The sequence below is a fragment of the Homo sapiens genome, chromosome 14 (assembly GCF_000001405.40).
Source record: "Homo sapiens chromosome 14, GRCh38.p14 Primary Assembly".
Lineage (NCBI taxonomy): Eukaryota > Metazoa > Chordata > Mammalia > Primates > Hominidae > Homo > Homo sapiens.
Window position 1 is genome coordinate 22,286,565 of NC_000014.9, and position 27,171 is coordinate 22,313,735.

The 27,171-nt window shown below is 38.1% G+C and overlaps 1 long non-coding RNA gene, 1 gene segment (V, D, J or C) and 1 further gene, besides 4 other annotated features; 2 read left to right on the forward strand and 1 right to left on the reverse strand.

Annotated features, from left to right (window-relative positions):
• Positions 1 to 27,171, forward strand: part of TRA (T cell receptor alpha locus) — a 930,229-nt gene that overhangs the window by 664,661 nt on the left and 238,397 nt on the right.
• Positions 505 to 4,169, reverse strand: LOC107984649 (uncharacterized). 2 transcript variants are annotated; one of them, XR_001750634.2, is made up of 3 exons: positions 4,019 to 4,169; positions 3,188 to 3,241; positions 505 to 630 (listed from the first exon to the last, which is right to left on the reverse strand). It is a non-coding gene; the product is annotated as an uncharacterized LOC107984649 (long non-coding RNA). The 2 variants fall into 2 exon arrangements; XR_007064070.1 differs by lacking the exon at positions 505 to 630 and having other exon boundaries at positions 3,029 to 3,241.
• Positions 17,490 to 17,532: a sequence feature (TRAV39 leader sequence).
• Positions 17,490 to 17,989, forward strand: TRAV39 (T cell receptor alpha variable 39). The segment is given in 2 exon segments: positions 17,490 to 17,532; positions 17,702 to 17,989. Coding segments are annotated over 2 exon segments (331 nt in total), but the record flags the coding sequence as incomplete, so codon positions are not given.
• Positions 17,702 to 17,712: a sequence feature (TRAV39 leader sequence).
• Positions 17,997 to 18,019: a recombination feature (spacer).
• Positions 18,020 to 18,028: a recombination feature (nonamer).

A 27,171-nucleotide genomic window follows, 5' to 3' on the forward strand; every position in this document is an offset into this window, starting at 1 on the left:
GGTGAATCCCATTTTCTAAATCACATTTTCAAGGACATTTGCCACATAAAGTAACATATTCACAGGTTCTGAGGATAGGTGGTGGACATTCCTATAGACTGAATGTTTGCGTCCTCTCAAAATTTGTATGTTGAAGTCCTAATCCCCAAGGTCATGGTATTAAGTGGTAGGACCTCTGAAAGGTGATTAGGTCATGAGGGTGGAGTTCTCATGAGTGAGATTAGTGCTTTTATAAAAGAGGCCCCAGAGAGCTGCCTTGCTCTTTCCACCGTGTGAGAGCACAGCAAGAAGGTACCATCTATGAACCAGGAAATGGCCCTCACCAGACACTGAGTCTGCTGCTATCTTGATCTTAGATTTCCCAGCCTTAATTGTCAGAAATAAATGTTGGTTGTTAAAGCCACCCAGTCTATGGCATTTGGAGTATAACTGCCCCAGTGGATGAGAGAGACATCTTTGGAAAGCTACTTCTCTCCTTACCATACCTGCCAAATTAACAACTCCAGCAGAAGAAACAGGCTTCTTTTGTGATATTTCCAGAAAATATCCTGGACTGACTTTGCTTAGACTGATTTCTTCAGATTTGGGAAACAGGCAGAGGTGGTTCCTCAAGGCAAAGCCAAGATGCTACTAGAAGAGGAATGAATAAGGATACGTAAAAATAACAGATGACCCCAATGCTATTAATTTATTTCAAACTCCTTTTTGCCATCAGAAAGCAGTAATAAGCTCACATATCAATTCCAATAAAATAATTTTTTAAATCGCCCAAACTTACATTTCAACATAGCAAGCAAAAAGCAATGAATAAAATTGCTTCACCAAAATATAGAAGCTCTGTTGACCAGAAATTCAGCATAGACAGTTGTTCAAGATAATTTCAATGTGTTCAGCAGATAAAGGGACAAATAAGGACTCTTTAAGGGCAAATTTAGCTGAGGGATGTGTTAAATTGTATATTTGGCAGACTGAAACTAAAGAATAAAAAAAGAGACAGCTTGATATAACTTTCTATGCCAAACCCAATGTTATACTCTAAATCTAAAACTCCAGAAAAAGTTTGAAAGCAACAAATATGAAGTCAGGAAAATCATTCTAAATTACCAACTATTTAGGTATAATCTTGAGCATTTTAGCTGTAGATGAAAGTCCTATTTATTCATATAGATTCTCATATGCTATGAATAATAGTTCATTTGGATGTCTCTTTAAATCAAGGAGGGATAAAGACAGGAAGGAAGAAAGCTGGCAGGCAATAAGAGCCAAAGTAAAGATATTATTTTGATTAAAATATACTCATTGTTGAGGTATCCACAAATATTTGAGAACACATTGAAGAAGTAAGACAGGTCAGAAAATATAAGTATATGATCAGCACTTAGTGAAAACAGTTAAAGAGAAAGAAAGAGCAAAAGAAAAATTGCTTAAAGCAACATAGATATTCAAAGATAAGGAATTAAAGCTGAGATAAATGTGACAGAAATGGAAAGGAAGGAAAATGAAGTTATGAAACATTGGCAAAAATAGCTAAAGAATGCAGAATAAAATGTCCTAGAAAACATTTATCAAAGGGTTATATTTTATTAGCATTCAGTAGTCACAAGGCAAGAAATATGATAGCTATAAATAAATACATGAGAATGTTTAAGGTTTTATGATGATCATGGCTTTACTGTTCAATATATATTAAATAAACCACAAGTTATCTATAACACAGTTCTGAATAAAATTTAGGAAACGTAGAGTCAGGTACCTCAATATAGAAAAATACAGAAATAATTAACCATAATGCAGACAAAGTGACACCCAGTTGTAGAGAGCATTACAAGCATTGAAATATTCAGAATATTATTTGATTAAAAAAAAGCTCATGTAAAGATACCCTAAGCAATACCAAAGATACACACACACAAACACACACACACACACACACACACGACACATACATGCTATATATAGGAAGGAAGAAAGCTTCTTTATTGGGGACACAGTTTACATATTACCTCTTGTTTCTATGAGATGCTATAAGAAAAAATCTCTTAAGATTTACTACATGGGTAATATATTTATATAGTGTCTGTGTGTATGTATAGCAAACTCTTATATATATATATGGATATCTTACAGTCTTATAGACTTATATGAGAGTGACAGTAAAAGAGAGAGAGAGAGAGGAGTGTATACCTATTTCCTCTCAAAAAGGCCATATTCTGGCAACTCCCTTATTCCCCATTCCCTACTATGCAGTTTGATCTAGCCTTAGATTTCCCAGGAGGTTCTCTTCCAGAAAAGTGCCTGTAGCTATAAAATAATCTTCATCTTGGCTGTTTCAATGCAGGATTCCTATTGAGCCAATACCTTACCATTTTCTTTCCTTCGTGGAACTGTGCTTTGTCATAATGCAATAAGTTTTCTATGAAGTATATCATAAACAACAGTCCTACAGAATTCATCATTGGACATAATATAGCTTCTTTATTGGGGACACAGTTTACATATTACCTCATGTTCTATGAGATGCTATAAGAAAAATTTCTCTTAAGATTTCCTACATGGATAATTTGTACCTACACTTGTAGTTTGTTTTTATCATATGGATGAGGTAATTATCACAGGACTGATTGTTTTCCTTCTTTACATTGACTGCTAATAAGTTCAGAGCCAATGTTAGCTTAACTCCAACTATAGAGGCTGATTGCATATATTTTAATTCCAAATCTAATTCAAGGTTTATGTTCCTGCCCTTATTTTTTTCTTCTTGATTTTTGTATTTCTTTGCTGTTGTTTTTGTAGATTTTTCTGTGCCTTATACTTTTTTCAAAGATAATTAAAACAGTGTGTGAATTCAGTGGGGTGGATGAATGAATGAGGCAGAGAAAAAGGAAATTGACATGGTAGGATAACAAACTCACATAATATGTAGATACATATAAAAAGACACACAAAGAAAAAAATTTCTCTAATATATCTAATCTTCTTTATGAATGATCCCATCTACCAAATAGTCAAGAAACTTAAATTTTGTAAATTGCAATTAACAATGTCTCATTTTATTCAGGTTTAAAGAGTTCCTTTCACTTTAAATATTCAGTTCATTTAAGTTCAATTCCATGTTAGGGCTGATGTAAATTCTTTCTTAGATGACTCAGTCTCTTTAGGTGATATGTTTGGAATTCAACCACCTTACCCTTTTCTTTCCGTGATGAAATTTAGGTGATAAGGTGAGACAGTTGAGTGTCACCTGAGGCAAAAAAAAAAAAAAAAAAAAAATAGGCTTAAATCCATGCATTGCCTTCTGGATCTTTTGGTCTGAGCAGCTGAGCAGCCAATCTACTCTGTTCCCTGTGTAGGTACCTAGTTATATATGGATTTTCCTACCTGGACTTTTGGGATTATGTGTTGACACCACTGCTGAAGCCAATTGTTTCAGCCGCTTGACTCCATCTCAAAGACCCTCATCATGGGCACTTCTTTGTACTTAGCCCAGGACTTTGCCAGGCCACTAGCTCTCTCAATTCTCTGCATCTACTTCCTGGACCCCTGGGGACTTCTGTATTCCCTGCACCTGTAAACAGACCATGGGGATTCTAGAAAGTAGCCTCTGACTCATGTAGCCAAGCCTTGATTTTTCTCCAGCGCCATCTTCCCACGACTTAAGTAAGACTTCCCCCAGAGACATGCAGCCTGCCCCTAGAACACTGTGAGAGGTGCTCTACTACCCAGTACTCTTGTGCTGTTCCCATACTTATCTAAATGCTTCTAGCCTTTCCTAACCCAATCAGTGTCCGCCCATAGCAGACCAGGGGAAAGACCAGAGTCCTGACACCTAAGTTCCTTGTTCTGCCTCCATTTTTCTTTACCCTCTAGGACCCAAAAAACTGACCTCCCTCTCTGTCCTGCACCTTTCTGTCAAACTGATGTAAAACTCTATGATCAAGTCCAGCTGGTCTTACATATAATATGGTAAAGAATACAATAAATAATTAAGAAAAAGTGTTACACCTGAAAAAAACCTTACTTTTAAGGCAGTTCTCTTGTTAAGTAATCAAAGATCCAAATTTAGATGTCAGAGCTGAATATTAATGCTTTCTATTTCCATTCCTCTCAGAATAATCTAATCTCTCCCCACTCAAGACAGATAGATTCCTCAGAAGAATATAGATAAGGTTATGTATCTGAAAATATAAAGGAGAAAAGAATATTAATACATTTCAAAAATATAATCTCAATTACAAGTAGAGGGAGGAAATATTTTATATCACCAAGGGCACTCATTGGAAAATCACCATAGATATTTTCAAAGAAAATAAAAGACTTCCAAAATCAAAAGAAATTAAGAAAATGAAGAAAAGACAAGCCACAGACTGGGAGAAAATATTTGCAAAATGCATATGTATTTTTTAAGTGGTATCCAAAATGTGCAAAGTACTCTTAAAACTCAACAATAAGCCAGGCATGGTGGCTCACGCCTGTAATCCTAGCACTTTGGTAGGCCAAGGTAGGCAAATCACCTGAGATCAGGAGTTTGAGACCAGCCTGGCCAACATGGCGAAACCCTGTCTGTACTAAAAATAGAAAAATTATCCAGGCATGGTGGCGGGAGCCTGTAATCCCAGCTACTTGGGAGGCTGAGGCAGGAGAATCACTTGAACCTGGGAGGTGGAGGTTGCAGTGAGCCGAGATTGAGCCATTGCACTCCAGCCTAGGCAACAGAGCAAGACTCCGTCTCAAAAAATAAATAAATAAAATAAAATAAAACAATAAGAACATTTAAAACCCAATGAAAAAAATGGGCAAATATCTGAACAGACACCTCAGATCTGAACTATCTGAACTATCTGAACAGACTATAAACAAAGTATATAGATGGTAAAGAAGCACATGAAAAGATGCTTAACATCAAATATTACTAGGGACTTGCACATTAAAACAGTGAAATATCACTACCTGCCTATCAGAATGACTAAAATCCAAAACACTGAAACCATCAAATTTTGTGAGAATATGGAGCAACAGGAACCCTTATTCATTGCTGGTAGGAATGCCACTTTGGAAGATAGTTTGGCAGTTACTCATAAAACTAAACATTCTCTTACCATATGATTCAGCAATCATGCTCCTTAGTTTTAACTCAAGTGAGTTGAAAACTTCTGTCCCCATAAAAATCTGCATGAAAATGTTTGAAGTACCTTTATTTATAATTGCTAAATCTTGAAATCAACCAAGATGTCCTTCAACAGGTGAATCTATCGACAAAGTATGGTACATCCATACAATGAAATATTATTCAATGATAAAAAGACATGACCAGGCCGGGCGCAGTGGCTCATGTCTGTAATCCCAGCACTTCAGGAGGCCGAGGCAGGCAGATCACCTGCAGTCAGGAGTTCGAGATCACCCTGGGCAATACGGTGAAACTCTGTCTCTACCAAAAATACAAAATTAGCTGGGTGTGGTGGCACATGCCTGTAATCCTAGCTACTCAGGAGGCTGAGGCAGGAGAATCGCTTGAACGAGGATGTGGTGAGCCGAGATCATGCCATTGCACTCCAGCCTGGGCAACAAGAGTAAATCTCCATCTCACCAAAAAAAAAAAAAAAGACATGACCACAAAAAGACGTGGAGGAACTGTAACTGTATATTGCTAAGTGAAAGAAACCAATCTGAAAAGACTATATACTGTATCATTCCAACTATATAACATTCTGAACAAAAACAAAACTATGGGGAGTGTACACTGATCAAAGTCTAATGTAAATTATGGGCTTTAGTTAATAACAATATATTAATATTGGCTTATCAATTGTAACACAAGTATGACATTAATGTAAGATGTCAATAATAGGGGAAATGGGGAGGATGAGGGTTGAGGGGGTGTATAAGAGCTCTGTATTTCCACTCAGTAGTAATACATCCCATGCTAGTCTTAATCTTAAAAAGGAAAATATATTCTAGTTGCTGTATTTCACAATGCTATGATCATTCCTTGTCTTACTTAGTTCATTAAAGCTGCCATAACAATCATAGACTAGGTAGCTTACGAATTACAGAAATTTATTCTCAGAGTCTGGAGGCTGGGAAGCCCCAGGTGAAGACACCAATGGATTTGGTATCTGGTAAAGGCCCATTTCCTGGCTCATAGGTGACATTTTCTCATCATGTCCTCACATAGCGGAAGGACAAGGCAGCTCTCTGGAGCCTCATTTATAAAGGCACCAATCTCATTCATGAGGGCTTTGCCCTCATGACATAGTCACCGCCCAATGGCACCACCTCCTAATATCATCACTTTGGCAATTAGGTTTCAACATATGAATTCCAAGGGGGAAGACAAACATTAAGATTGCAGCAGTCCTTTCTTCTCTATCAAATCCTTGCTTATCCATCTAGATCCTCAGCAAATACAACTTAGACTATATAGCCCATAATGATCTACTTTGCTAATCAACTCACATACAACTTCTTGACTCTGCCATATGGGGGACTTTTTAAAACATTGACTTATATTTCTACTTAATCGTGTACAGGTTTATATGTGTCAATATTCAGAACTATGATTTACACACATAGAAACATATAAATTAAACCACCATCATCACTCCCAATCATACACACACATGTTCATATACAGCATCCAATAAAGCATCCTATTCAAATTTGGTAATAAATAAATATTTACTTCTTGAAAGATCAACTGGCTAAAGAAAATAATGTATTCCGATTCATCCACTTTCCCAAAGGAGGGTTCTACACAACAATCACTAGTGTGTGCCTTTGGTCACACTTTTAAGTAACAGTAAGCAATGAAAAAACAAATAGAAAATGCCAGGCTGCTCTCATTTGCACTCCTGCTTCATGTAAATGCTTTCAATTATTCATCTAGCAAACCACACACACATTGCAAATGCCTAAAATTTCCTTTTGCCAATTAGAGGTAAACGCAGTCCCCAATTTCTATCCATAGAAGAATTAAAGCAATTCTATTTGCATCCAATGTAACCAAAAGTTGCCTTTCTCAAAAGATACCTATGTGGCCTCAATAATCCAGACAAAAGGCTCACTCTCTCAGTGTGGCTGCTGTACTTCTTGCCTCTTGTCTGTATAATCTACTGAAATTAGGTACCACAGCACTTTCTCTCCAACAAATCCATGGAAAGTAGGAAAACATGTTGAACTACTCCAGGACTCCCAAATTCAGGTTGAAATTTTCTTTCAACATAGAAGTAGAAACTTCTGGTGAAAGATGGTAATAGCTCAGCAGGAAGTCAGCACAAACCTCTAAAGGCAAAGCAGGAGGCCGGAGTCCTCCCCTCTCTCCCTCCCTCATAAGGAGCCCTGCTCTGGAGACTTCCATGGGGACAAGAGAGAAGAAATCGTTTTGCTGCTCAGATCCTAGGATTGAGTGACATAGGAATGGAGGGCCCAAAAATTTGAGTAAAATTCCTAGACTTGGTTTCTGAAACTATCCTGACTCTAAGATTAAGCAACTTCTCTTCTTAAATTTCTTCTTATAAATCTCTCCTTGGGGAACGTTCCTGGGTGGATAAAACCTATGGAAGAGGGGAAACAGAGTTGTGGAGATTAAAGTTAAAATAAAAAAAAGTCTTTTTGTTTTGTTTTGTTTAATCCTATTTTCTCATTATTTATCTGAGGTAATCAAGATCCAGAGAAGTCCCTCCCTTGCCCTACATGGGATAGCAGGGGGTTCCGCAAGGATTCTGTCCTCGCACTGACTCCCACTCCCAGTCTGTGTCTGCTTTTCATACCAAACACTAAATATGTTATTAAACAGGAGAATAAAAGTTGTGAATATCACCCTGGCCTAGACAGAAACACACAATATATACAATACCATACTATAACAGATATTCTACTAGATATGAGAGAGCCAATACAGGCTAATGAAGAAACAAGAGGAAAAGATGAAAAAAATGACATCTAGAGGTATTCGTAAAATAAAAATCTAATAGGTAAGTAGGCATGAGTTAATCTGATCTTTCCTCTACCCCAAATTATTTTTCTGCCCCACCGTCTAGGCTAGAATGTCTACTTCCTGCTTCTGTGCCTATAGTCATCTTAGTCTTTGTCTAAGAACTTGGTCAAACCAGAACCTTTAGGTATTGTGACTCCATCAGTTAATCCCTATGGATATTTTGCTTCTTAGTAACATTCTGGGATAACATTTGTAGACTGCTTTGGTTATTAACAAAACCAACAACATGGAGCTTTAATGCACTCTCTAACTTGAGTTCTTTGTCTTGTCTCTTTTACAGCTGCGTTTTCTCTGTGACACCAGGAATCAGCATTTCCATTCAAATACAGCAAACTTTAAACCGCTTTTTGACAGGAGGAAACACTTTCTGCCTAATGAAGGGGATGAAGCAGGTAACCCAGAGAGTATCTGCCACACAGGCCTCCTCTACAGTAGCTCAGAATTGCACTGTTTGATTATTTCTTACACGTGGCATCTGCAAATTCAGAAAGGTGAGTGATGTCAGATCTAAAGGTCCCTTCTTCCATCTTGGTTCATTCAAATTCAGGTCTAAGAGGAAACATTGAAGAAGCTATCTGAATTTCAACAGGACTGATTACTTTCCACCAAAGGCTGTAGGAGACACAGATTTAAAGAGTGACTAGGGGGTTAAACATAAACATATATTGACAGTAATTCCTGCATTGTCATCAAAGTGTGCTCATGTTTGTAGGCCAACTCTTAGTGGTATTCAGACATTGGAAAACTGTAAAACCTTCATGCATTTTTAAGATGACTTCTAAAATATTTTATTATTAGTTTAAATGTTTAAATAGCTACAAAGGTTGTAAATTCCACTGTAATATAAACATTGACATTTTCAAATAAAACTCAGAATAGCTTTTAAACATATCCAGTGAAACCTTAATACCAAAGTGATTTGATACCCATCAACACCCAGTTAAAATTCACAACAAGCTCTTCATTGACAATTGAAGACCTTATATTGCTCTTTTCTTTCCTTGGAATCATATTTCCATTCAACTTCTCCTGCAGAACTTAATTTTAGTATATTTTTGTTTAAAGGCTTTTGTTGATCACCCAAAATGCCTGCAACAAAATCACGTAAAAAATTGAAATTGCTTTTAAATTTTCTCTGACCATACTGCTCTAATTGCTAAAAATTATCTTTCTAGATTGAGTTATAAATATAATTATTGTTGATGTACCTTTTATTAAAACAACAAAAATATATTTCAATTTTAGTTTTAAACTTACAGGCGAAAATTTTTTGGAAATGCATTTCTTAAGAAAATCACTGGGGTCGGCCCGGCGCAGTGGCTCATGCCTGTAATCCCAGCACTTTGGGAGGCCAAGGCGGGTGGATCACGAGGTCGGGCGATTGAGACCATCCTGGCTAACACGGTGAAACCCCGTCTCTACTAAAAATACAAAAAATTAGTCGAGCGTGGTTGCACGCGCCTGTATTCCCAGCTACTCGGGAAGCTGAGGCAGGAGAACGGCGTGAACCTGGGAGGCGGAGCTTGCAGTGAGCCATGATCGCGCCACTGCACTCTGGCCTGGGCGACAGAGCGAGACACTGTCTCAAAAAAAAAAAAAAAAAAGAAAGTGACTGGGGTCATATTTACGGTTAATTAAAGGAGGCTTCCTTGACACCAATAAATTGTCCCTTTGTTTAATGTTCCAGGGGTGTTTAAACTGCAGGGCAATGCTGCAAAAGGAGATTCCGTCTTGAATAAGGTTGGGGAAGAGCAATTATGAAATTTGAGACGGGAAACAAGAACCACAGTCAAGCTCTTGAACAGATCACTTTTAGGAAAGGTTACATACAGAAGTTGAAGATCTGGAAATTGATTCCCTTAAAATACATAACTGTTGCCTAGTTTGAAAAATCACTGCATTAGATTGCTCTCCACATTACTGATTTCATTCTCAGCCAGACTTCATGAAGTGGTGAGGTTTGAGGAAAATCAGCAAGAGATTTTAATGACAGAGCCTTGAGTTTCAGTAAACCTGATAAATTTCCTAAAACTTATTTGACATTTCTGGCTTGAAAGAATAGCTCCTGATGAATTAGAAAATTATGGGAGATTGAGTTCTTGCATGACACAAAGTCATTTAAACATATATCTTTATCTTGGGAAAGACAGTTTAAATGTCATGGCCATTTATTAATAATATTGTGAAAAAAAGTTATCCCAATCCTGGAAAAAAGAAAAATGATGATTGCTAGTCTTTTTTTTTCTCTATCTGCAAGAGCATTTTCAAGTAAGCAATTATCTGGCATTCTTGGGGATCGTAACTTTGTTGTCAGAGCATATTTACCTAGCAATCCATAACTGAGAAAAGGCTCACATAGTTTACATTCCTGTGGGTTGGAGGTTAACCTACAGAAATGGAAGAGTTTTGCGTTCATAGCCTGGAAAAAAAAATTAACCCCAGATTATCGTGTCAACCCTAATAGCATTTTATTTTGCTATCTATATAGTTGTATCTTTTTCCTGTAAACATTTGTGGAATTAGCTTTTTTTAGTTAATGATTAAGAATAGTAACAAAATGTGAACCCAGGCTCACTCCCTATTTGTATTAGTATTTTGTTTTTTAGCACATTTAAGGCCATCCTGGCACTAAATCAGAAAACTACTTCCTGATACCTAAACTATAAAATCCTGGTTTCATATACATCTGAATTAGGCAAAAACATAGCTGGCTATTATTTATTTAATTTGATGTCTTAACATGTAAAGATTTTCTTTTCAGAAGAAATCTAATGGACCAGATGTCCTGAAACACTCTTAATTATTTTTCAGTAGTACGAACATAGCCATGAAGGCAAAGGAAGGTAGATGATCAATTCATGTTAAGAGTTTCAAATTCCATGGACTAATTTATATCTTTCTCCACAGCCACCTGGCACATTCTGCCTTTGAACAGATGCTTTACAAAAACATAATCTGTGGACATGGAGATCTTGCATAAAGCAAATTCTCTCTGATCCACAGCTTCACTGAGGGGTTTCAGTTTTCTAGGCCAGAGTGACTGCTGGAGATGAAGAGATTCTATCAAACGTCAGTGTAAAATTGTCTCTTACTTAAAATGCCCTCATTGATCTTATCCTGATACCCTTACTACAGAAGTTTATCATGACTCATCTAGGAGATACCAGAGAGTTCACTAGCCAATTCAAGAGCATGACTTCTCAAAATTCTCCATGTTTTCCTCTTTCCTTCCTAGCTAATCCCACTTTCTCCTGCCTTTGAAGGCTATAGCTTCTCTGCCAATTTCTTGAATTATGGGGTTCCTAAGCCCTCTTCTATGTTATCCACAGATTCTAGGCAATCTTACTGGCTCCTGAGCCTCGAATACCATTTAACTGCTCTAGACTGACAAACCTGTATCTCTAGCCAAGACTCTCCTTGGCACAGACACACTATTGGGCTCCCTATCTCATCACCCCATAGGTCCACCTTCTCTGTGTCCCCATCCTAGTAAACGAAGCCATCAGTGCCTCCAACATGTTCTCTTCAGTCTAGCCAGAGTTATTATTTAAAAATACAAGTGCAATCTGTTTGCTCTCTTGCTTAAAACTAATCAGTGACTTCCAGTTTCCCAAAGGATGGAATCCCAAATCATTACTAAGGCTCACAAAGCCTTTCTTTCTCTAGCTTATTGCTCTGGTTTCATCTTTCATCTTTATTCTTCACCCATCTTGCACTCTGTGCTTAATATCTCCTGTTTGCTTCCAGGTCCTCTCTCCATCCTTCCACACCCTGCTTTGTGCCCCAGGTGACTGACCTATAGGGATTATACCAATAAGCTATCTTGTCTTTTGGTTTCCAGTAGGTTTTTGCCCAAGGGCAGTACCCACAGAGAACAGAAAAAATGAGGAAAGTAAGGTCAGGCTATATATTCCCCCAACTTCCTCCCTTCCCACATACTGACATTAACCCACAATCAGCTCCTTACGGTGGCCTCTCCAAATAGCCTGTCTTTCTCCAGGTTTTGGTAATCACTCCCTCCTTTCCATTCAAGGCCTGGAGTGATGCTAGTCCCAGGTTGTAGCACTATCTCTTATATGTTCCCTGCTCACTGCTTGTATTTTTATAACTAGTGTCATGTTTCTCAAATTACACAATTTCAGTATGCCATAAGTTTCCTACCAGAACCCAGATTGATACTGTCTGCTTTCAAATCCTAAAAGGTGTCAACTATGGCTTAAATGTTCCTTATTTCGGGAGGCCTTTTCTAGCCGTCTTGACTTGGATGTAACCGCCTGCTAAACCTCCTACAGCACCCTGTCCATCTCCTGACAGAACATCCTTCACACTTAGCAGCAATCATTGAATGAGTATTAGTGTCGCCTTCTCTAAACAACAAACAAACTGTGTCAGAAAAATATAAAGCAAAATTTGTAGGAAATATAAAAATAACTTGATAACATATTCATTATGGGACACCTTAATATCTTTTTCTCAGAGAGAGAAAGAGAGAGAGGATGATGGAAAAAACTTTATATTAAACATATAGCTACAGAATATTTACAAAAAAATGAGCATATAATATGACTCAAAAAATGGGAATCATATAAGCCACATTGTCTGAACCTAATGCAATAAAGCTAGAAACTAATAATTAAAAGATAGCAAATAAATGAGTAGAAAGAGAACCACTTATAATATTCTAAAACATTTTCAGGTCAAAGAACTAAGAGTTAAAATTACACGTCACTAAAAATGAACCCTAATAATGGTACTACATAAAAAAACTATATATTTGTTCAAAGCAATATTCACAAGAAAATGCATCCATCTATTAATAAAAAGTAAAACAAAGGAGCCAAATCTGGCAATTCAAGAAATAAAAAAGAAATGAGCAAAATAAGCCAAAACAGAGAAGGGGAAAGTTTAATGATAAAAGCAGGAATTAATTTAAATGCAAAGCAATAATTAGAATGTACAAATAAAGGCAATATTTCTAGGAAAACTGATAATAAAAAAGAAAACACAAATGTGCAATGTTAAGAACGCGAAAGGTGCTATAACCCCACAAAAAAAAGCAATTTTTCAAATCACTGGTTAATGCCTTGTATACATAGATCTTGATGAAATTGGTGGTGTTTAGAAATATATAACTTTTTAATTTAAACTTCTCTACTTTCTAAAAATTTATACTATTTTACAATTCCAAAGTCAACATCAAATTGTAAAGAAAAAAATCCTGAATTCTGCCTCTTCTTCCTTCTTCACATACGCAGCAAATAAATGCTACACATATACCAACTACTATGTCTCGACTCTCCTATGTTTTCATCATTAAAGAAAAAAACATATTGCATTCCTACTATATGCCAATCATTGCACTACACACTGGGAAATCAAAAATGACTATGAGAAATTCCCTGCTTTCAAGGAGTTCATAGTCTAGTGCGAGAAACAGACAGATGTGCACACTGATTATAATACTATGTGGTACCTGTGATAATGCATAATAATGATAGATGTCTTTACTGAGTTTCTGCTAAGTGTCAAACACCTTCCATTCAGCTGAGATCTTGTCCTTTCCTCCAACTCTTACCCGGGCATTTTCACATAATAGCTCGTTATCATCTCAATTTCAAAACACTTTTTGTACTCAGATGCTTCTCCAATTTCCCAGTTTCTGTAAATGGCACCACAACATTTCCTTATTCAGGCTTGAACCTTTTGAGTTTATAGTCAGGTACCAATGCTTGTCAGTTTTTCCTTTGAAGTGCTATTGAATGTATATTTTGTTTAGAATTCCCATGACTACCACCTTATTCAAGTCCTTAGATTGTTCCCACCAAGTTGAAAGGGGTGTCCTCCTTCCTCTTCATTATTGAAGTCTCTTTCTTGCTCTTCTCCCCTATCCTACCAGCTCCCAACCACCCTCTGACCCTCTGCACCACTGCCACACCTTTCTTTTTAAGATATCTTTTCATCATATCCCTCCACTATTCACAATCTTACAACAGTTTCTATTTTCTCATGAATATAAGCCCTTTGAAGTAGCTTTCAGTGACTTCCATTATCTCCTCCTCATTTCACCAATTTATCCTCATTCCCAGACACTATTACCCAGACTCTGTTTTCTCTGTTAGCTGGACCATTCTTCACACTTTCTCAAAGACATGTCATCCTCACTCCTACCTCTCTATATTTCCTGAAATAGCCTTTAGTGCGTGCTCTCTCTCTCTCTATCTAAACATTATGTGTTTTTTAGGCCTTAGCTCCTCCAAAGAGATTGTACTAAATTCCCATAGCCTTTCATAATTTCCCTCTCTTTTGACCTCACGTACAGCATACACAAAAAAAATGCACCCAATGCTATGCTACTGTACAAAGCAGTGTACTGCTTTGCACTGTTAACTTTAACTCTATGTGCATTATTTTAATCTTTCTAACTATCTTACAACTCCATTAAAACCAAGACTAGATACTGTGGAATTATTTAATACCCCCACCCACCTCATCATTTATCACATTACTTGATACTTGGTGAGTACTTGCTGGGTACATTTGAATGTAATGTCTTTTATTTCTTAATGTCTTTCATTTTCTCAAGTGTTGTTAAAGGCAAAAAGCAATGTTGGATGGTTTTATCAGTTATGCAGAGTTCATGCAGGAAAAGAGATTTCAGTGGGACCTTGCTTAAGACAATAGAGAATTTAGTTTAGGATTTAACAGGTCTAGAAATTAATGTAGAAAGCTGTCCCACAAAGATCTATTATCCAGAATATGTAAGGAACCTAAACAATTGAACAAGCAAAAAACAAATAACTCCATTTAAAAATGGGCAAAAGACCTGAACAGACATTTCTCAAAAGAATACACGCAAGCGGCCAACCAACATATGAAAAAATGCTCCACATCACTAATCAACAGAGAACTGCAAATCAAAACCACGATGAGATATCATCTCACACCAGTCAGAATGGCTACTATTAAAAAGTCAAAAAACAACAGATGCTTTCAAGGCTGTGGAAAGAAGGGAAAACTTACACACTGTTGATGGGAAGGTAAATTAGTTCAGCCACTGTGAAAAGTAGTTTGGAGATCTCGCAAAGAACTTAAAACACAACTACTATTCAACCCAGCAATCCCATTATGGGGTAGATATCCAAAAGAAATCAAATAGTTCTACCCCCAAAAGACACATATACTCCCATGTTTATTGCAGCACTATCTACAATAGCAAAGAAATGGAATCAACTTAGGTGCCCAGCGATGGTGAATTGGATTTTAAAAATGTGGTACATGTACACCATGTCATACTATGTAGTCATAAAAAAGAACAAAACCATGTCCTTTGCAGCAGAGTGAATGCAGCTGGAGGCCATTATCCTAAGCAAATTAATGCAGGGACAGAAAAACAAATACCCTGTGTTCTCACTTAGAAGTGGGAGCTAAATATTGGGTAAACATGGTCATAAACATGGCAACAATAGAAACTGGGGACAACTAGAGGAAGAAGGAAGGGAGTGGAGCAAGGGCTGAGAAACTAACTTTCAGGCGCTATGGTCGCTGTATTAGTCCCTTTTCATGCTGCTGATAAAAACATGCCAAGACTGGGTAATTTATAAAGAAAAAGAGGTTTAGTAGACTAACAGTTCCAAGTGGCTGGGAAGGCTTCACAATCATGGCAGAAGGCAAAAGACACATCTTAAATGGTGGCAGGCAAGAGAGAAATGAGAGCCAAGGGAAAGTGGAAGCCTCTTATAAAACCATCAAATCTCATAAGACTTATTCACTACCAGGAGAACAGTATGGGGGAAGCTGCCCCTATGATTCAATTATCTCTTACTGGGTCTCTCCCACAACACATGGGAATTATAGGAGCTACAATTCAAGATATTTGGGTGGGGACACAGCCAAACCATATCACTCACTATCTGGGTGATGGGATCATTTGTGCCCCAATTGTCAGCATCATGCAATATACCCAGATAACAAACCTGCACTTTTTTACCCCCTGAATCTAAAATAAAAGTTGAAGGGAAAAAAAGAAAGCTGTTCCACATTGATTGCAGTGAGTATAATGGGCAAAAATTACTGCCCCCAACCCGCAGCCCCCAAATCCTAACAGAAATCTGTTACATACACACAGACAAGCATGGATTGAGCATTAGCTCAGTAGACAGGTCGGTTGAATCCCACTTTCCAGCTGCATGATCATAAACTTATTGTTTAACCTCTGTAAGCCTGTTTATTCTTCTGTAAAATATAGATCTTGTGAGAATTAAATGAGATTATGCATTCACTTAGCATAGTGCCTGGCATACAGTACAGCTCAATACATGTTAGTTATTATTATCATCTTTTGTCCTTTCTTCCACAACTTTGTATAAGAAGTGTTGGAGGAACTGAAGAAAATGTGATGTGTTCAACATGGTACAGAAAAGGTACACCATGGGCAGATGGTCAAGGTGAGTCATAGACTAACCCAGTTCACAGGAGTAGCTACTCATGTTAGAGGAGTCCTAAAGAAATAAAAGCCTTCCTTCCCTCCCACTCTCCCTCCATCAATGGTCCACAGAGTTGAGAGAACACAACTGTGGTAGGCATCTACCATTTTGTTCACTTAGAATGGCAACTCATTCCTGGTAAAATATAAATTCTAACCATGTGTTATGAATGGAGACTGCTATCTTACTTATGAATGGGCTGATGAATCCACCCAGAGGTGGATGCCTGACCCAGCTGAACCAATCATGTTATGTATACACCACTCTAGTCACAAATTGCCCCCCTGGATGGGAACCTGGCTCAGACTGAAGCAATCAAAGCCTTACCTCAATATTTTTAAATCTGGGATCAGAAAGGATCCTCAGTATTTCTTTGGTGGCTACACTGTGAGATGAATCCCAACCAAAAAATGTTTACAATCATGCCTCCTGCTTTGTGGTGGAATCTGGTCTGAGGAATGAAACTAAGACACGAATGAAAGGAAAAGTCTTAAAGGATTAAGTTCCCTGGCACCCTGGATGCCTGAAGTCCAGATACACTTCTGCTCTTGCCAAGGTTATTGGAGTCAGTGCATTTCTCTTCTTGCCTAAGCACATTTGAGTTACATTTCTGTCACTTGTAACATCAATGAGACGTTAAAGAGTTAATTCACTAGGAAATTTTTAGGAACACCTTGCTGGCTTACAAGAAGCATCAATTCTACGAATTACTTTCTCAGGAATTTCTCTAAATATCCTGAAGAGGGCACTGTTTCCATTCATAACTTCTGTCCAAACCCACCCCCATTCTTTTGTTTTTTTTTAATTTTTCTTTTTATTTCTTTTTTTTCTTTTTCTTTTTTTTTTATGAAAGGGAGGGACTGAGTAAATTGCAGGATGTGATTCTAATTGGTTGGAACATCTTTTGAAATCGTGTTTCTGTAGAGAAAGAAAAACTACCATATTTGGATAGCCCTGGCCAACTTTCAAGGCTCCTAAATCTGAGTTTTCAGTGAACTGGACAGAAAAAAAAAATGAAGAAGCTACTAGCAATGATTCTGTGGCTTCAACTAGACCGTGAGCTGGGGGTTCATTGAAAAGGGAGCCATGGGAGGAAAGGAATTGTCCATACAATGTTTGGGGGTAGAGACAAGGTTCAATGCGACTCATTTGGGTTCCCTCGGGAGGAACAGGATTATTGGGGTAACCAGTGAATGCTTCCTTCTGAAATGTTCTCTTTGGACAGGGTTAAGTGGAGAGCTGAAAGTGGAACAAAACCCTCTGTTCCTGAGCATGCAGGAGGGAAAAAACTATACCATCTACTGCAATTATTCAACCACTTCAGACAGACTGTATTGGTACAGGCAGGATCCTGGGAAAAGTCTGGAATCTCTGTTTGTGTTGCTATCAAATGGAGCAGTGAAGCAGGAGGGACGATTAATGGCCTCACTTGATACCAAAGCCCGTCTCAGCACCCTCCACATCACAGCTGCCGTGCATGACCTCTCTGCCACCTACTTCTGTGCCGTGGACACACAGTGCTCCCCTGACGCCACCAGTCTGTACCCAAACCTGCAGCTGGTGGGCCCACTCCTCCTGCAGGAACTATGACTGTGAGGCTTCGTTCACTGTCTGTGCATTTCTTTCTGCAAGGAAAATTCTGAGATGGGTGAAAAAAGATGCTGTTTTATCTTCTTAACTGTGGAATATTTTTTAAAAGGAAAATGTATTCAGGCTGAGGGAAGATTCCTAACCATGTATTTCCTGAGAATATGAGGTCTCATTCTTTACTGCCTCACAGTCAGAATTTGTTAGTCTTCCATTATGGAATAATTTTACATGTAGTGCAACTGTCACAAATAATTCCTATGAAATATGGAATCATTATTTGTTTTATATATGAATGTAACATATGGCATTTACCAATGAAAGAAAGAATAAATGCTTTATAAAAGAATGGTCTATGTGAGGTTCCTTACCTAGTGTTTCCTGCTAAAATACTGACTACAGTAGTCAGATAATATCCGTGTGATCTAAGTACCTGTTTATCTCAATGTGTGGAGAGTCTCTGGGAAATGTATCCTTTGGCTGGATTTACTCGAAAACTATCTGAGGGTCCTTGCCAACCAGAAGAATATTATATTTTTTCTTGTATTATTTGCCAGTTTCCTCTTCTCCTCCCTCCATTTTTTTTTGTAATTGTTTTGCTACATGGTAGAATTTATATTAAACTTTATTTGCCCATTGCAGACTAGATAAAATGAATTTCACTTTCAGGAAAATTGTCTTATAAGAAATCCCCAATTTGAATGTTATACAAAAATAATTGAAAATAAGTTTTCCTGTCCCACTAATGAGATAATCAGTACCTTCAGATATCAATTGCATCATATTTTCATCCCAGACTTCTAGGAAAATAATAAACTTGATTCAGTCAGGCTTTTAAGTGACAATATTTCAGAAATTACCATTACAATGTAAAAGCTGACCTTAACATTTCAACATTTGTACCTTCCTAAGCAACAGCACCTTTAAAAACATTTAAAAACTAAAAACACTTATTTCTCTAAATTGCCCCTAGAGTCTTTACAAGCGAATCAGCTTCTGCAGCAATTTGTTGGCAGATTATGAAAAGTCAGCCACAGCAGTGTACAGACCAAAAGCTCCTGCTACCACTCAGAGCCTCCAGCAGGGACTATAATAACTTCCGTATTTAGATAAAATAAAATTTGACATGAAAAACCGACTAGTTCCATCATCCTTTGAGTCAAGCAGAGGTTTCACTCTGACAGAGTAGGCTGAAAAAACTTTGACCTTGTATTTATAAATACTCACAACGTATCTTAAATTTCAAGTTTCTTGATCTGTTACCAAAGCAAGTTTCCTTGTCAATGACTGATTGTCGGGAAATTTTTATTTTGCATTGATGATCTTATTTGTTGTGTTGTTACATAATCAGAAAACAGGATGTTACATCAGATTTTCTATATCCTTTCTGGAGCATTTAACAGCATGTCTTCACACACTCATTTCCATGCTGAAAACATTTTCACCAGGAAACTATTCATGACGGGGAAAAAAATATTGTTCAATCCAATCTAATTAACTGAAGGAACAATATTGACTTAAGTCCCCAAATCTCTTCCTTCTTAGAGAGAACTCTTGGATTCTGAAGATGAACTTTTATATCTTCTTCAGATCAAGAATATAAACAAACCCTAAAACAAATGAATAGAACTGAGGATTTCATTAATTTGATCTTTAGAACATAAAAAACTAAGTTCTTTCCACTTCTCCTTCCCAATTTTCCTGACTCCTTCCCAACTTATGAGTATATAGATTTTTTGCTTTCTTTTCCTAGAATCACTTACTGTCACTGAAAATATATCATTAAACCTTATTCTCGAAGAAACAATACAGACATTCAAAATTGAACCAGTTGACTTTAAGGGTGTGATGGTGTAGTAAGAAAATACTATCGAAGGTGACAATCTCCAATACATTAGAGCATGCTAAGCCAAATATGTTTTCCCCCAGTAGGACCTTTAGGAATGTCTCAGGTGACTCCAAGCTTCCGGCACTTGCTGTCCATGACCAGAGCTTCTACTAACAAGAAGTTCCATAAAATACTTGGATCCATCCTAATCAGATACACCAGTTGCCAAGTCCACTTACCACAGAGATTAGGAAAGGAGACATTTTTCTCAGTTGTGCTATTCATGTCCCAGAAATGGCATTTAAGACAAATAATTCTTTGAGTATTTCTTCCACCCTGTCTCATCTGTTTTGATGTGAACTAGTCTCTTTTTTCATTGCTTTTAACACAGCTGGTTATTTTTTCTTTTAATAGTGTGTCTGCTTCAAGGTTTATCTAGAAGTTGTTTCTTAATATCAAAAAAGTTAACATTTTTTATTTTTACTGAATTATGAAATCTAAGTGTAAATATGAGGTGCACCTTCTAGGAATTTATCTAAGACTCAGTATGCATGTTCTTCCATCTCTCCCAGCTACCTGGCCTCCCATCCCCTTTCCTGCTGGACTTGTTGATCCTCGGAGACTCAAGTACATCCTTCACTTAGTCTATGCACTATATACCTTCTTCAATGAGGTCCCTGTGTCAGGGACATGGTTCTCAGTTTCCAGCTACTTTCCATGAGCTCCCTCAAGCAAGCAAATATTTTTAGAAGGTATTTTTAGAAGACAACATTTTAAAAGACCATAGTGTCCTTTCTACTCTACTGTGTCTGCAATATGTTGCAGTAGAACATTTCACAAAGCTAGATCTTCTCAGAGCTCCAGATGGGAACCAGGCAAAAAGCTCTCTTTGCAGCGGACAGTCAACCTATCTTGTGGTTTCCATTGTCCGCATTCCTAGCTCAGGGTTTTAGATAGGATTTGTGATTTTTTAAAACTGCCCTGAAACCTCAGGCTCTGCTCTTGACATATAAATTATCAAAAAGAAAAATTACCAAGTACCTGTCTCTTGCAACTCAAAAAAATGCCTTATTTCAGGATATTTTTTCCTCCTAAGACTTTTTAAGTCCATTTTGAATACAAAATCAATAATTTGACCCTTTGATCTCACTGGATCCTTTCACAATCTCCCTTTACTGGAGCAATAAGATTCATCCTCAAAATTTGTGGCAAGAGATTTACAGGGGAAAAAATGAATTTTAAAGAAGGAAATTATCATATTTGAAACTGTTAGTCCACTCCATTTAGACTCAGAGATTCTAATAACACAACAGTGTGAACACCAGATTTGGTTATCAGAAAGAATTCCTGAGTATTCAAACTCTTCTACTGTGAGCTCTATGCCCTTAGGCAAGTTTCATAATGTATTTAAGCCTCACTTTTCTCATCAAAAAAATATGGAAAAAATAATAACCACTTTCTAAAGTTTTTATGACATTTAAAATGAGATGGTGTATATGTAAAGTAAACAGCACACACACCAGATCTTCTAGAACAGTGTTTACTAGAGAAAATTCATAAAGACAAGAGAAAGAGCAGGTGTGTGGTTTCCCCAGAGGCAGCACTCACCCTACATTCTGAAACAGCACACAGCAACCTAGCATGGCCAATGTGAGACCCTAAGAAAGAGAACCCAGTCTTGAGCCATGGAACTTTAAGGCTGCACTGGGGAAGCACCAGGCCTTACTGTAGCATGGGGGCTGGGCTCCAAATTATGTGATTATAGCAAAATCAAGGAAATCTGCAACCTCCAGTCCTGATCTGCCACCTCAGCTCTCTTACAAAATTTATTGCCTCAAGTGCTAGGCTGGGGCTCTATTAGAACCAGTTCCTTCTCTGGAAGGCCACCCTGCAGGGAATCCATTACCCTTACCTCTCAGTATGTGAAATTCACTAGCACAGAGCCTGGCATGTAGTTGGTATAAATGTGGAATGAATGTGTGCAGCCATGGAGGACAATGTCTTCAGTCCCTTTGTAATGCAGAAAGTGTGCTTGTTCTCAGATCAAATAATTAACTTATTGAACAAGTGTTTATAGGTATCTACTAGGTACCAGGCTGTCTTCTAGACACTTGAACTATCTTCTTTTAAAAAATGCACGAAGATATCAGATTTTATAGAAAATACATTCTAGTAAGCATTAACCATAAGTAAATTACTATATGGTTTATGACTTCAGAGAGTCTCTTTAGCGTTAATATATTTTGCATTACAATATATGAGAAGATAAGTCGGACGGGCGCGGTAGTTCACGCCTGTCATCCCAGCACTTTGGGAGGCCAAGGCGGGTGGATCACAAGGTCAGGAGATCGAGACCATCATGGCTAACACGGTGAAACCCCGTCTCTACTAAAAATATATATATATATATATAAAATTAGCCGGGCGCGGTGGTGGGCGCCTATAGTCCCAGCTACTCGGGAGGCTAAGGCAGGAGAATGGTGTGAACCCGGGAGGCGGAGGTTGCAGTGAGCCAAGATCGTGCCACCACACTCCAGCTTGGGTGACAGAGAGAGACTCCGTCTCAAAAAAAAAAAAAAGAAGATAAGTCTATGGAGACAAGAATCAGAGCAAGTTAGGGGATAGGGAATTCTGGAGGGGGCCACAGAAGGGTGGTTCCCTTGTAATTTTAGGTAAAGTGTCAGAGTAGCCTCACTGGAAGGATAACATTTGAGCAAAATTGAAGAAGATGAGAGAGTGAATCTTGCATATACTTGGAGCAAGTTTTCCAAGTAGAGGAGAGTCCGGTCCTAAATTAGGAAATGCCTACATGTTCTAGAACTAGGTGGAATGAGAAGCCATAGGAAGGCTTTGAGAAAGGAGTGATAAAATCTGACTTCCATGTAAAAGTCTTACTCTGGCTGCCGTGCTGAGAATAGACTGCAGATCATCAAGATGAAAGTGGGGAAAATTGTTGTATTAACATTAAAACCAAAGATATCTGGTGTTACTCTGAGCTCAGAGGCTTCTTCCACCAGAAAAGCTCATTCAAGAGCAGCTGTTGTTACTGCTCCTGCTGATGGAAGAGGGGCTAAAGACATATTTGATAGCCTTTCTGTAGATCTCTTGACTGCAGATGACCTGTGAGTTTAGGGGAAAATGACAGGAAGGAGTCTTAATTTCAGACACAAGAAGGTCTGTTGTGAAGGCATCTTCCAAAAGGCAATATTTGTGCTTTCTTCTGTTGTGTAAGACTCCCTACTCAAATTTAGGCAGTTTAAGGACCTTAGAAAATTGTGCTGTGGTGATAAAGGTAATGGAAGTCAGAGCAGAGGGATAATAAAAATCCATATGCCTCTTTGAAAGCCTGTGTAATAAAGATATCTGCTGCCTCACCGATCTGAACAGGGTTGAATAAGCAACAAATGGACAAGAATGCTCAGTCCCTGAGCTACCAGGAGACATAGGCCTTTAGTGGGACTGCCTATATAATTTACGGGACCCAGTACAAAATGAAAATGCATAACTTCCTAAGAATTTGAAGACTGCAACAGCAGAGCATTAAAGCATGAGTTCTATGAGACTGTACAGGTTTCATACCCAGGAAGCTGGCCCTGATCACTACTAGTTTGGAATGCCATCATTATTCAGATATCGATGTTACAGGCAGGAGCATGGGAAAGACCTTAAATTAATTTGATAACAATTCAACCTAGTGGCATACAGAATGAGGGCAAACTAACTGAGTAGTTTGGTGTAGAAAAGAAGCACCTCACCTCCTCAAATTACCTCTGAGATGGTGAGATGCCCTGTCCTTTTGACATCTACATATTTAATATAAACTCTTCACCTAGGACCACAGCAGTGGCAGAGATCCAGATGCTCGGAGAGATCTATTTGCACAAGAAAAAATATGCATAAAGAGGTTAATAGTCAAACCAAATAAGGGGCTGAGTTGTACCGTGAGCTTTTTTACAACTTCAAAGTGGGAAACATTTATTGCCCTTACTCATGGTGCTGTCTAAAGAATAACTTTTTACTCTCCTGAACATTTCAGGGTTCTACTCTTATTAGAGAAATTGTACTATTATCATTTTATTTTTAAAATATTTTTAGAAATGGGGGTCTCACTGTGTTGGTCAAACTCTTGAGCTCCAGCCATCCTCCTGCCTCAGCCTCCAGGGGAGCTGGGACTCCAGGTACGCACCACCCCACCCGGCCACTGAGTCACTATTAAAAATCATTTAGCATAGCCCGGCCTGGTGTGGTGGCTCACGCCTGTAATCCCAGCACTTTGGGAGGCTGAGGTGGGTGGATCACCTGAGGTCAGGAGTTCAAGACCAGCCTGACCAATATGGTGAAACCCCGTCTCTACTTAAAAAAAAAAAAATTAGCCTGGCATGGTGGCACCCGCCTGAAATCCCAGCTACTCAGGAGGCTAGGGCAGGAGAATCACTTGAACCCAGGAGGCGGAGGTTGCAGTGAGCCAAGATCACACCACTGCACTCTAGCCTGGGTGACAGAGTGAGACTCCATCTCAGAAAAAAAAAAAAAAATCATTTAGCATACCCAGTCTGGGGCTTTCTACTGAGAGCCTTTGTTGACTTCTCTTCTAAGGCAAAGAGCAGGGATATAAAGAAGTAACACTTCGAAAGATGGATGTTCTAGTTACATTTCTAGGCTCTGAAATCAAATACTTAATCCACTTATTGACTGATTAATTTATCCAACAAATATTAAACTTGACCGACCCTTATAGTGTCTGGAGCCTAGTAAATAACTATTGAATAAGCTGTGAACAGACAGCCAAGTCCTGCGGACTCAGAGAATAATGAGACAAATCAGATATTGAATCCTGGCTTCACCACTTTTGAGCAGTGTGACCTGGAGCAATTTGTTTATCCTCTCTGATCATCAATTTCCTCATCTATAAAATGGGAACAATAATATTAACACCTATTTTCACAATCATGTGGATTAATGTATGCAAAGCCTCTGTTTCATCACTAAGCACTCAGTAAATATTAGCTATCATCATCATCATTACTAATTTCTATTGATTTAACTAGACACAGAAAGGGCAGCATGTGTCTTACAAGCCAGCGCTTCCCTCTTCTAACCACTAATTCAAAAAGGATTGTAAGTAATGTTTAGAGGTCACTCCCTAGCCCAAAATAGGATGCCACTGTGTTGTGCTTTGTTTTCTTTCTTCCTCCAGTGCTGAAGCACTTGTGTGTTTTGGTTAATCTAAGATTTAAAAGATTCCTACATGTAGTCATGCAAAGTACTTGTATATACCTCTAAGGACCTAGCAGGTCTAGTGATCCTGGAGTCTCATATCCGAAAGAGGAACCAGTACTAAAAGACAAACTTCCCAAAATCTAAAGAAGGGAAGTGCAATCAATGGTATGAGTTAGAAGCCTCAATCCTGGGAGAGACAGCCTGTGCAAGCCAGGAGAAATCATGGGTTCTCCAGTCCCCAGCACTGGAGCAGCCATGATCAGTGCCTCCACTTCAATGCTTGTGAGGCTGTTACTCTCTGGTGAGCAAAATGACAGTTTAAAATTTTGGCTCTTTTATAATTTCTCTTATTTCTCATTTTGTTACTTAGATTCAATGTCGTTTCCATTCATTCTAATAAGAACCTTGGCTTTCCAGGAAGAACCACTAGAGACTCAGTGAATTAGACACAGGGCTATGTGACCCTTTCTTCAGGGGCACACCTGACGTTGAACTGTACCTACAGAATGGGTAGGTACCTTCCTCTTGTGGTATGTCCAATATCCCAAAGAGATATCAAAATGCCTTGTCTCTGAGGCATCATGATAAATGAAAAGGAAGATTTCAGGCCCATTAAGTTAAGATTAAAACCTCTTTCCACTTGCAGAAAACCTCTATCCAAGCACTAGGCACAATTGTGTACTTTTATGTTCCTAATGACACAGTAGGGGAGACTAACAGAGGAGTTGAGTGCAAATTGCAAGGGGTATGAGAGGGGCTGGGTGTGAGCAGTTTCTTTTTCCTATCCAGACAGGGCCCTGGAGTGCAGGAGTGTATGTGGGAAGTTGGACAGGCTTCGTGATTTGCTATCCCAGGTTAAGTAGCACATGAGACTGCATCTTAGAAATGGGGAAAGGAAAGATTTGTCAAAACATTGCCCATATCTGTCCTCTAATTATAGCTCACTGATCAAAACTACAAGCCTAGTAATGTAACGAAGGAAAGTTCTTTGACATCAGTTATTTAAAATATGTACAATGTGATTTTCTGAAATACCTTTGTATTTAAAATGTAATTTAAATTACCCTTAAAATTAAAATAAATCAATAACTGTTTTAGTCCATTTTGTGCTGCTATAATAGAATACCTGAGAATGTGTAATTTATGAAGAACAGAGACTTATTTCTTACAGTTTTGGAAGATGGGAAATCCAAGGTCCAGGGGCCTGCATCTGGGGAGGGCCTTCTTGCTGCACCATACTATGGCCAAAGGCAGAGGGCAAAAGAGTGCATGCAAGAGGGAGAAACGGATAAAGTGCCAAACTCATTCTTTTATCAGGAACCCACTCCCAAGATATCTAACCCACTCCCATGATAATGTCATTAATCTATTCATGAGGACAGAGCCCTCATGACCTTTTAAAGGTCCCACCTCTCAACACTGTTGCATTGGGGATTAAATTTCCAACATATGAACTTTGGGGGGCACATTCAAACCATAACAATAATAAAACATTAATATTCCTGGGGAAAATGAGCAATTCACAAAAAGTAGTACAAATGGCCACTTTATAAAGAGGTATATAAATTCTTTAGTCATCAAAGAAACATTTAAAAAAGTGATTCATTTTTTCCAGCTATCAAAATAGTGAAGGTTACTGACACACACACACACACACACACACACATATCATGGAATTTTTTTCTGTTACTCCAAGAACCTCCTATGGCACCATGAGTCTTGAGCCATTTACTATGTAACCAGAAATAAAGACTGCAAATACTCAACTGTAAGCCAAGCCACTTCTAGTCTAAGTGCAAGATTGCATATTTGAAGAGAAATATTTCCATTTCTGAGAAACCAGATAAAATTATGCCAGGACTGAGGAAGAAAAAAAGAGAAAAAAAAAAAGAGCAGTCAGGAAAAAAAAAGCAGTCAAAAAAAAAAAAAAAGAACAAAGTTAAGTAGACTTTGCAAAATGACTTCAATTGAATTACACCATCATTATCAAATAAATCTTCAAGTCCAGATAAAAAAGGAATAAGTGTACCCTCAGCACTACCCTTTTCTAGAAGAGAGAA